Source organism: Homo sapiens, chromosome 4 (genome assembly GCF_000001405.40).
Source record: "Homo sapiens chromosome 4, GRCh38.p14 Primary Assembly".
Taxonomy (NCBI): Eukaryota; Metazoa; Chordata; class Mammalia; order Primates; family Hominidae; genus Homo; species Homo sapiens.
The window spans coordinates 16507178-16518987 of record NC_000004.12 but is presented as its reverse complement, the minus strand read 5'-3'; the positions used below and the strand labels follow the sequence as shown (position 1 = coordinate 16518987).

Here is an 11810-nt window from a genome sequence, read left to right as displayed (position 1 = left end):
GATGGTCGGAGACAGAGGTGGGATTTGAGCTGGACCTTGGAGGACCTTAAATGGTTCAGATGGTGTGACTTAGTGTGGGCGACTGGTTCGCAACAAGTAAAGGAGCTCTCTCCAGGACATAACTCAACTATTTCACTGGGCATATTGTTTAGTTGATCTGATACCTTTTTAATGCAAAACTTTCTCAATAAAGTAAGCAGTGAATTGAACATGCTCTGCCTCAAGCTCTTTATCCTATTATGGAGACGTAACAAGTCATTTGCAGCCACCTTCTTGGAATAGTACCGATTTAGTTCAAGGGTCAACAAACTTTCTGTGAAGGACAAGATAGTGAGTATTTTTTAATTTGTGGGCTGTCCAACTACTGAGCTTTGCTGTAGCACAAAAGCAGCTATAGACAGTAAGAAAGCACGGATATTTAGTCCACAGGTCATAGTTTGCCAAATCCTAGTTAAGATGACTGAGAAAGAGGAGAGAAGGCCTTTTAAAAGCGAAAAAAAAAACAACACAAGCAAAGGTCTGAGCAACGCGTTGACCTAGCAACTCTGAAGAGACCTACATACAAAGAGTAGAGGGTTCAAGGCCATAGGATGTCACACAAAAAACATGGAATTAAAATGTTGATGGTAGACAGAGCCTAGATTGGGAGATAATCAAATACTGCTTTGTAGTTCACAGCCAACTCTGACAAGCACCACCTGTTCCTGAGATTCGGGCAATGAGATGCCCCAGAAGAATGGGTATGAGTGTGTAGTGAAAAGAATCAAATTTCTCCAGGAGAACTGTCAGATGAAAAGCAAAACAAGAGCAAAACACTGCACTGTCTACATTTGTTAGGTCCTCTGTTAATATGAAAAGGCAGGAATCCTGGGACTGAACTAAGAGCTTCCTGCCTGGCCAGGACATACATATGCATTGTGCAAAGCATTTTGCATGCAGGAGACAATCATTTATTCATCAAATGAACAAATTCATCACTTCAGAGCACACAGGACCATGCCTGATTTGTCTGTCATTAACAAATGACTCCTTGCTATAAATCTGGCCAAGCTATCTATTATCCATCCATCCATCCATCCATCCATCCATCCATCCATCCATCCATCCACTCATTCATCAAGTTCCTGTTGTGATTACAAAATTTCATACCAAAGGGTCAGTGTTGGGGCCAGAATCTCCAGAAAAAAGAGGTCAGAAGCATAGGAGAGCAAGCTCAACCTAAAACATTCACTAAATCTGCAAAAAGGTGTCCTTGGAACTTTGCCAGGATGAACAATGGCTTTCTTAGGGATCCTATCTGGACTTGACAGGGACACCATGTTTATGGGTTTTATATTCAAAGAGGGATCTCGGGCCTTGCTGATCCCTTCCCTTTCCACAGCGTCCTGGGATTCCTCATGGTATTCTTCACTCCGGTACTACCCCAGGAAGAGACCAAACAAAAGTGCAAGCCTGCATGCAGGCTGCTGCAGATGTTGCAGACATGTTGTCTTTGGCCTTTCTTTTTAGGCAAAGGGAAAAAGTCCAGTGGGCACTTTGTAGCTGTCCTGACTGTGCAGATTAGTTTTTTTCAACATCAAAGGACCATGTGTTATTATGCTCAGTTCTATAATGTGCATTTGACTGGTGTTTTTTTTATGTGTATGTGGAGTGGGGTAATGAGGAAAAGGCATATATCTTGTAACCTGGCTCATACTTATTACAAACAGGGGACTCTTCCTAGAGTCGATGGATGGGGCTATAGAGGATTCAACAACCACCAGAAATTTTGTACAAAATTTGAAAGACAGGCTGTATAGCCTTCACCAGATTCTCTTGAGGGTCTCAGACCTCAGGGAGGGTAGGAATGGCAGCTCCCAACGGATTTGACTAGCAACTAAGGGAACCCACTCCCCAAACCTGCTTCCTGATTTCATTTCATAATGCCCTAGGCCTTTGCTGTTGCCAAGATGCACTGGCTTACTGCCAAAGAAGACAGGCTCTTATCTGAGTTAGTTCTGCCACCTACAGCACAGAGCCCAGCAAAGCCATTGCATCTTTGCAGCAGAGAAGAAGCCTCATTTGCATACATGAATAAGGGGAGGGCTGCCTCTCCAGCCCCGGACTCTCCACTGGAAGAAAAATGACTTTGGGGATTCTCGATTAGCATTCAGAGATGCAAGCTCCTTTGGGGTGGGTTACAGCGATGGGAAGATATTTTTACATTAAAGGGAAAGGGATAAATTTTGAGGATTAGCACCTGAAAAAGAAATGTTGCTGAAAACCCAGAGAGGAAAGTCACTGCAAAAAAGGAAAAGACAATGAGCTCATGGGTCCTCACAATAAGTGTAACTCTCCCATTTTATAGCATGCCCAATGCTGATAGTCCTTTCTAGGTCCAAACAGGTCACCCCCACCGTCTACCTTGTCGTACAATGAAAAATACTTGCTTTGGAAGAATGTGATTTCCTAAGACAGGATAGTTTTGTTAATATACTTAAAGCATTTTTAAGGATTCCCTCTAAGGGCAGAGATTGTGTTATTCTCATTTTTGTGTCCCCAGCACCGAGCAGAATGCTTGATACTTAGGAGGAAGCTCAATAAATGTTTGTTTGTTGATGTAAAGTAATAGAAATGTAGTTTGTATTGCAACCTATGCATGCTTGCTAATATATAATTAATAATATCTACAGATTATTAAATAGTCATGCATTAGACATATTAACTCAAATTCTCACAACAGTATATAAGATGGGTATTGTTTTGCAGGTGAAACTGAAACCCAGTGTTTTTAAATAACTTACCCAAGGATGCATATCTAGTGAGAGTCAAAATCCATACCTAGGCTGGGCGTGGTGGCTCACGCCTGTAATCCCAGCACTTTGGGAGGTCGAGGTGGGCAGATCATGAGGTCAGGAGATTGAGACCATCCTGGACACACGGTGAAATCCCGTCTCTACTAAAAAAAATACAAAAAATTAGCTGGGCGTGGTGGCGGGCGCCTGTAGTCTCAGCTACTCAGGAGGCTGAGGCAGGAGAATGGTGTGAACCCAGGAGGCAGAGCTTGCGGTGAGCCAAGATCACACCACTGCACTCCAGCCTGGGCGACAGAGCGAGACTGTCTCAAAAAAATAAATAAATAAATAAATAAATAATAAAATAAATAAATAAATAAATAATCCATACCTAGACTTCTTAGCTTGTAAATCCATGTTTGTTCCACTCCACCCATGTATTTTATCTCCAGCATAAGCTCATTTACAATAAGTGGTAAATGAACCAAATGAAAATAATTTGAAAATGTTGAAAAGATTTTTAACTGTTTTAAATACTAAAAAAAATACTCTAAAATGTTTCCTAGTCTTTAGGATTTCTCTGAAGCTTTTCTTACCATTCTTGCTTAATAATAGATGCAGTGGTACTTCTTTGAGGGATAACCCACTCTTAAATCTACTTGCACAGATGACTGTGGAATCTTTCACTCCTTTTGGTCTGGTGAGCACTGATGGCTTGGAAAGGCAATGAAGTAGTCTGTAACTTACACTTTGATTTGTAGTAGCAAAGCATCTTTTTTTACAATTTTTATTTTAGATTCAGGAAGTACATGTGCAGGTTTGTGACACATGCATGTTATGTGATGCTGAGGTTTGGGCTTCTATTGACACCGTCACTCAAATAGTGAACATAGTACCTGATAGGTAGTTTTTCAACCCTCCCTCCTGCTTTTGGAGTGCCCAGTGTCATTGTTCCCATCTTTGTGCCCATATGTACCCAATGTTCAGCTCTCTTTTGTAAGTGAGAATATGCAGTATTTGGTTTTCTGGTTTTGTGTTCAGTCACTTAGGATAATGGACTCCAGCTGCATCCATGTTACTACAAAGAACATGATTTTGTACTTTTTTATGGCTGTGTAGTATTCTATGGTGAATGTGTACCACATTTTCTTTATCCAATCCACCACTGATGGGCACTTGGGTTGATTCCACGTCTTCGCTATTGTGAGTGGTACTGCAATGAACATATGAGTAAAGGTGTCCTTTTGGTAGAAGGATTTATCTTCATTTGGGGATATACCCTGTAGTGGGATCAGCAAGGAATTCTTAACAGAGTAATGCACACAGAGTCTTCATAATGTTGGAATATGGAGTTAACTCTATAGTAATCTTGCCTTTTTCACAGGTTTTTCCATATTAACACTTTAGATTTCAAAAAGGACATCAAAGTAAGCAAGATTGAAGATCCAGCATTACTAACCCAGGTCTCATTACTTTACAGCCTGGTTTATTAGGGTTGGTGTCTTGGCCCCTGTGATGTGCATATTCCTTGTGTTGTTCAGGCTTTAATCTTATTGTCTTCCAGAGAAATTACAAATGAAAGAAAAGTGCAGCTGGCCCTTAAATGGGGTGAGTGGTTTAAGCAAGCTTAGGTCAGTAATAGGTACAAACAACTGAAGAACCTTTCTAGGTAAACATAATTATCATGCTTAGACTTAAGAAGGAAGGAAGAGAACATGAGACAGTTGGTGGAAGTGAGAAGAGGATGGATTTAGAACTGGACACCACTGGGGGTTTGTGCAAGTCTTGCTGTCTCTATTATCTGTTCGAAAGCCCTGGATATATAGGTAAGTGGACCTCAAATTCTAGTCGTGTTTGTCAGAATTATGTGAGGGCATAGGGATACAAAAGTGTGATTCCTTTTCTTACCTATTATAAGGGTCACTCCTATAACAAAAGACAAGTTAACAAGAGAAAAGTATAACATATTTATTGAATCAAAGTTTTACATGACACAGGAGCCTTGAGAATGAAGACCCAAAGATACAGGAAAAATGATTCATTTTTATGTTTAGGCTCAATGAGGAATGCACAACTGTGTTGGACTGTGATTGGACAAAGAGAGTATGACCTAATGGGAATAACTGAATAGGGAAACGCAGCAAGGCCTGTCTGTTCAGATTCTTCTTTGTCTCTCCGTTCAGCATTCCTTCCTCCTGGATATGGGACAGGATCCTTGCTGGAATGTGGGTCTTATGACCTACTTCCAAAGCAGGTCACAGAATTTCTTTATGGTCAGCTCTTATACAGAAAGGCAGGGAAAAGTTAGAATAATATGTTTAGATTTTATGTCTACCTTTGGCGGGGATAGGTTCTGGTTTCTATGACCTTCCTTGGGGAAGAGGCATTCTAGTTTCTATGGCTTGCTGTGGGGGCGAATGAGGGATGGCAGAGTAGGGCAGGACAAAGTAAAAGACAAACTTTGCTTTATACAGAGGCCTTCACTTGGGGGTATCATTTTCTGAGCCCCAACAGGGGTATACAGATTTGGAACCCCACCTCAAGACCCAATGAAACAGAAGTGGCATAGCCCTGAAATCTGAATTTTTAACAGTCAGCCCATTTGATTCTGATGGAAGTGTTTCTTAGATCACACTTCGAGAAACGTCAGCATAGGAAGATCCTCCAGACTTTCTAAGAATCACTCTTTAAATGCATCTATTCGTTTGAGTTAAACTAGGAACACAGAGATAAAAGGCGTAGTCTCAGCCTTGGAAGAATTCATGGCCTAGTGGTAAAGGCAGACTTAGAAGCAGATGGTTTCATAGCATGAATGAGTGAGTCCATACAGCAGAAGGAGCTGGGTGCTATGGAGAACTGAAGAGAGGCACGCAGCTCAGCCTGTGTGGGGAGAGGTGCACATCTGGGAGGAAGGCTTAACAGAAGAAGTAACTATGTCTTCAAGGATGAGTGAGCATTTTCCAAGAGGAGGGGAGAGAAGAATTCCAGGTAGAGATGTGCAGTCTTCAGAGATATCAAGGCTCAGAGCTCAGAGGACCAAAAGCAGGGTGGCCTCTAGGGACATGTTCAAGATGAGGGATTGCATAAGAGGAGGGGCTAATAAGGAAGATAGGCTGATGACGCTGAAGACTGCACATGTCTTTCATAAAAGGTGATGCTTTTTCACAGAAGAAGGTGCATGGCCGATATTTATATCATTGTAATTGCAATAGTGATTAATGTGCAATTCCAAATTGTGGTCTCTGTCCTCATAAGTACAGTATTCTCAATGCAGTGGTATTCTGATGAGCTTCCAATTGAGAAGGAATTCGGAAAAGTCCAAGGCAATCCTAAATGGTTTTATCTTCTTGTTTTCCTCATTAATCTTTGTCATCAGATGTCTTAGACCAAAGTAAGGCTGAAAAAATTCTGACCAAAGGAAGGAACAAGGTGGCTGTATGCAGAACCACAAAAAAACCTCCCACATTGAATGAATGTTGACATATGTTATTTACAGTATCATCATGCATAAAATACAGATGAGTACATGAATAAAAATAAAATAGTATTCACCATCCACCTTTCTAAGAGTTAAGATCAAAAAGTGCCTGTAGTTGCCACTCTGTTCTCCAGTTTAAAAGATGGATTTCACTACCAATCTGCATAAACTAGCATTGTAACTCACAGCGTGTGGTTATACAAACAAGAACAGAAACCAGAGTAGAAATCGAAGCATGCTGAAAGAAGAGGGGTTTTTTTTGTTTGTTTGTTTTTGTTTTGTTTTGTTTGTTTTTAACCAGAAAGAGTTATTTGAATTCAGAATAGAGCTACATATATCCACCCCATTGTCTGTACAGGTGTGTGTGTACACGTATATGTGTGTGTTTGTGTGTGTCTGTGTGTGTATCCGTGTGAATCACATTCAGCTGTAATATATTATAAATGATAATTAAGTAGATATAATCAAGTTTTTGTAATATTTATTTTTCCTCACATTTATATAAAGAAAATCAAAACCAGGAAAATAAAAGTATTCTCAAAGCTGTCTACTTGATTCCAGCTGTTAGCATTATTTATTGTAATTAGTGTTATGAAGTAGTGAAATGCCAATGTCTTTGAACTTCTTGCAGTTGTGTGTAATATTGGAGCCAATGCAGGAACTGATGTCGAGACATAAAACTTACAACCTCAGTCCCCGAGACTGCCTGAAGACCTGCTTGTTTCAGAAGTGGCAGAGGATGGTGGCTCCGCCAGGTACACCCTCATTCTTCACTCTCTCTCTAAACACGTTTTCAGAGGTGTCTTCCAGGGATGAAGTGATGTGAAAAAGAAGAAAGTGATCATTAATTTATCAGGACAAGTAGCTTATTAGGGATATTCTGACCATGGTTGTGGACATAAAGACAATGAATTTGTGACAGGCAAACATCCTTAAGAATTATCTACAGTCTCCTCACTTACCAGATTAGGACCTGCAACTCAGAGAGGTAAAATAACGTGTTCAAGGTCATCAAGAAGGTCATTGGCAAAGCTGAGATCAGAGCCAGGGGTTCCTGTCTTCTAATCTAGTGGTTCTTCCACTGAGCCAGACTGCTGGCTTCTCACGGCCTAATGTTTTAGGTTTTTGTTTTTTAAGAATGACAGACATTATGAAAAGGAAGGAAGAAAGGGAAGATAAGGAAGAAGGAAAGGAGAAAAAAGAAGGGATGGAAAGAAGGAAGGAAGAAAGGAACAGATGAATGAAGGAGGAAAGGATGAAGGAAAAATGAAGTTTGCTCTGTTTTTAAAGATATATTGTATCAAAAGTTCTGATCATGAAGAGAATATATAAGCAATTCCATTTCCCTCACTTCCCTAGAATGCAGTTTAGATACTATAGTCTCCTGCTGGGGTTCTGAAATCACCGATTCAAGTCATCATTAATTGTCTTCCTATCTAATATACTTTCACTCCCAGGCGTGTGTTGAGCCTCATTCATCATAAAAGCAAAATGTAGCCATTTGCTAAAAATTATTTTTATAAAAAGTAATTATTAACACGAGGCACATAGCTTTCTGAATCACAAAATATAATGGTCACCTTCGGCTGGTAAGTGGCCAGGGGTTTTATGTAAAATGAATATAGCAAATTTAATCAAGTACATATTTAGAAAGCTGAGAAAATAAGTGTTATTTTATGTAGAATAGTTACATCCCCATCTTATGGGAATTTTAGACTTTTGGAATATTATTTTTCAAATATATTAAATGTGCTTAAATTGGCTTTATTTTTTCTTTTAACGCTAATAAGACTTTATGGAGAAAACGTAATCCACTCAGCAAGTGCTATATTTTCTAACATAGGCATATATAATTGATATATTATTCATTAATTCCTTCATTCATTCAATAATTATTTATTGAGATTTATTAGGCTCCAGACGTGGTTCTAGCCACTGGGAGTTACAAAACTGAATAAAGCATGCAAAAATATTGAATCCTTACCATAACTTTAAATGTATTATCTCCATTTTATATAGTGCACTCTGAGACTTAGGGTAGTAATTTGACACAGCCAGTCTCATGGCTAACAAATGAAGGAGGACTGTGTCACCAAAAGGTTTTTATGTCTCCAAAGTCTATTATTTTACTACCACAGCCACCTACTGGTAATGGGAATAGTCCAGAATACGCATTTTAGGTACACTTGCCCCAATTTCATGGTCAAAGTATAAATAAAAAGAGCACCAAATTTATACTCTTAAGGTCAAAGAAAGAAGATACTTGTCAGGAGTGGGCCTGAGTATCTGCTGGACTTTAGAATGTCCTCCTCAACCCTTTATTCAACTCCATGACCTGGAACAGTTCTATATCCTGTTCCTCTCATCCTTCAGAGCAAGCACCCTGAACTCGATGGAAGGAAATGATAGACCATTTGATGAAAATCTTTAAGCATAAGAGACAAAATATTTAGGGACGATAAAAAAATAGTAGGTGAGTAGAAAAGTCAAAAAGAAGTCAGGGATACTCATTGGACTAAGTGATCTTTGAAATGAGCCTTAGAGGAAGATCCTTCCCATTGTCCACCAGAAGTGGCATAGGTGTTTTTTTGGTGTGATTTTGTCTTGCTTTGCTTTGTTTTTGAGACATGGTCTTGCTCTGTCACCCAGGCTGGACTGCAGTGGCACAATCATAGCTTACTGCAGCCTCGACTTCCGGGCTCAGGTGATTCTCACACCTCAGCCTCAAGAGTATCTGGGACCCCTGGTGCGTATCACCACACCTGGCTAATCTGTGTATATTTTGTACAGATGGGGTTCACCATGTTGCCCAAGTTGGTCTCGAATTCCTGGGCTCAAACAATCCACTTGCCTCGTCCTCCCAAAATGCTAGGATTATTGCCATGAGCCATGGCACCCGTCCAGCATAGGTGTTTTAAGAAAATGCTACAAGGCCCTCTTATTTGGTTCCAGTGTAGCCCTGAGTTGCCTTCTCTCCATCACAGTCAGGTCTAAAATAGAGCTGGCAAAAAGGATGCTCTTACTTGCCATTTCCAACTTATTCAGTAACTGGCAGGAGAAGGCTTCTGAAACTTTCTCATTTATGAAACAAAGATTACAATAATAGTTCCTAACTAATAGGATTTTTTGAATATAAAATAGTGCATTGGAAACATTAAGAATAGTGACAAGCATTACATAATGTTCTATACCTTATAAGTAAACAAACAAATAAATAAAGAATATTTCTCTTATCACACTTTACCTTGGGTCTCTATATTTCTATTAAAGGGTTGCCCCATCCTTCAAGTCCAAAATATTTTTCTCTGTTTCTGAATAGGCCTTTCTTTAAGAGGTCTAGTTTCCCCTCAGTAATATGCTGGCTATACCATGTACTCAGACATATTTTTTTCTAGCAATTTTGGAATTAGTAGCATTTATTAAACAGCAGGGCCCAAACCATGGGTATTCCTTCTGAACTTGGGAATCCCTAAGCTCCACATCCACAGCTGATGGAACTGACTTTACTTGAGAATTCTATAAAGGTATAATAGAGGTGGGTTGCAATATGACATTTCACCAGTAGATGCTGCTGTTGCACACTGGCTCATGAATTTGGCTATTTAAAGTTCATACTTCACTCGTACCTTGGAGTTAGTTACCCTAGGGATCCCAGGAGTCCTCTCTCTGTTTTAAAGAGAAGATACACCAGAGGAAAAAAGTTTCCCAAATTTTCTAATGGCAAAATATTTTAAATCCAATTATGAAAGTGGTACTTGTAGTTACATACCTAAAAAATATTTTTACAAAATTAAATACATACCATTAGAGAGAATGATTAAATAAAAATTATTTGATCTACACACAAAGAAAAGAGTGTCACATATTTTGTGCTAAAAACACATCTACAGTTTTCTCCTTTTATTCTTTCTAAAGCTATAAGAAATGGAAAATGTTTAAATAGTCTACTCTTCAGTTTACCAAGACAGCTTCCTTAGAGTAACCATACTGATGATTGCCTTGTTGCTTTTGCCCTAGAACTGATCCCTCTTCCCTTTTCCATATTGCAGCAGAACCCACAAGGCAACCAACAACCAAACGGAGAAAAAGGAAAAATTCCACCAGCAGCACTTCCAACAGCAGCGCTGGGAACAATGCAAACAGCACTGGCAGCAAGAAGAAGACCACAGCTGCAAACCTGAGTCTGTCCAGTCAGGTACCTGTAAGTCTCGCTTTCCTCTTAGGCCCGAAATCCTAACTGTCTGCTTCCTACTCAAAGGGCCCAAATTAAAGTCTCTTTTCATTAGAAAAAAAAAAAAAATCCTGGGCAGGTTGGAGGTGGGGGAGGGATAAAAGACAGGGACAGAGGTTGGGATGGGAGGGAGGAACTCTGCCATGGAAACCTTCCCCTGCAAACTGGGAATTAGAAAGGAATATTAAGAGTCGTGCTGCAATGGGACCTGAATTAAAAAGCCATCAGAGTCACAGACAGGAGATATGTCACTTAAGGTTTAATTAAAATATCACTTAGCAGCATGCCTGGTGGCGTATTAAGGCCTCTCAGCACCATCATTGGAGACCCTGTGCTCCACTGGAAACTAGCTCCCAGCGGCTCAGTCCCATATTGTAATTTGACTGGGCCTTCCCAACATGGGCGTCCCCTCTTATTTTAAGACTCAGGTAATTAACCAGCAGCCACTAAACATGTAGCTCAGTGAAGCTCTCGCTTAGCCCATTGCATTAGCTAAGGGGGAGGATCAGCCTCTGGTTTGGTCTCAACTCTCTCGAACCCTTGGCCCCTTTCTTTCATTTCTTTATCTTGACAAAGACCATTAGGAAGGGGACTTCTTTGAATTCCAAAGCTGACAGCTGAGGGTAATCCCATATAGTGAAAACTGCACAGGAACTTTCTTCATCTTTTATTCATTCTTCTTGAATTCTGTCCCTTCTGCCTAATTCCCTCCCATCTCCTAACTCCCCAGCCCCTTATTAGACTATCTCCTTTAAGTACTTTGCTCCTTTAAAGTGCTTCTGTTCCTTCTCTGCTGTCCCTGTCATACCACCCTATCACCAGGTGTTTGGCCATCATTCAAATCCTGAGATTTTCTTAGTGCTTCATGGATACCTTTTAGATACTCTGTTTTCCAAAGTTGCCCTATTTCTTGTTACATCCCTCAACCAGTACAATTTTACCTTTTCCGTCTTTCCCACGTTTTTCCCCCTCACCCTTCTTGCTCTCATCCTTACCCTTATTGTTCTGATCCTGCTCCATCGCTTCCATGTGCGAGTGGACCTTCGCACAGGGATTCCCCACTTACTTCCAAGTGTGTCTTTCACATCTGCCCCCACCTACTTGTATCTACTTTCCACTGGTCAGTTCTCTTTGGCCAAAACCAACCCCATCAGTACCCTGAGGATTCCTTGGGCCATTGTTTCTCTTCTCCTGTCTCCCACAGACAGGGGGTATACTTTTCATTCCCACTGCATTAGAAAGAAGGGGTCATGGGGAGAATGACCAGCCTAAAATGGAAGGTGCCATGTTACATTTTACAAGGTTACAAATTGCAGTCTTCAAATAA

The 11810-nt window shown here is 40.3% G+C and overlaps 1 protein-coding gene and 1 long non-coding RNA gene across 24 annotated transcripts in view; one reads left to right on the top strand and one right to left on the bottom strand.

Moving 5' to 3' along the window:
- Positions 1 to 11810, bottom strand: part of LOC105374505 (uncharacterized) — a 190382-nt gene that overhangs the window by 32259 nt on the left and 146313 nt on the right. The gene's annotated exons all lie outside the window — the stretch shown is intronic.
- Positions 1 to 11810, top strand: part of LDB2 (LIM domain binding 2) — a 397105-nt gene that overhangs the window by 379658 nt on the left and 5637 nt on the right. For 10 of the 22 annotated variants that reach the window (NM_001290.5, NM_001304435.2, NM_001130834.3 and 7 more), the window contains 2 exons: positions 6884 to 7007; positions 10302 to 10453. In NM_001290.5, the coding sequence (NP_001281.1) occupies positions 6884 to 7007; positions 10302 to 10453 (276 nt within the window). The remainder of the gene's footprint in view (positions 1 to 6883; positions 7008 to 10301; positions 10454 to 11810) is intronic. The other 12 variants (XM_017008813.3, XM_017008821.3, XM_017008812.3 and 9 more) reach the window with 3 other exon arrangements.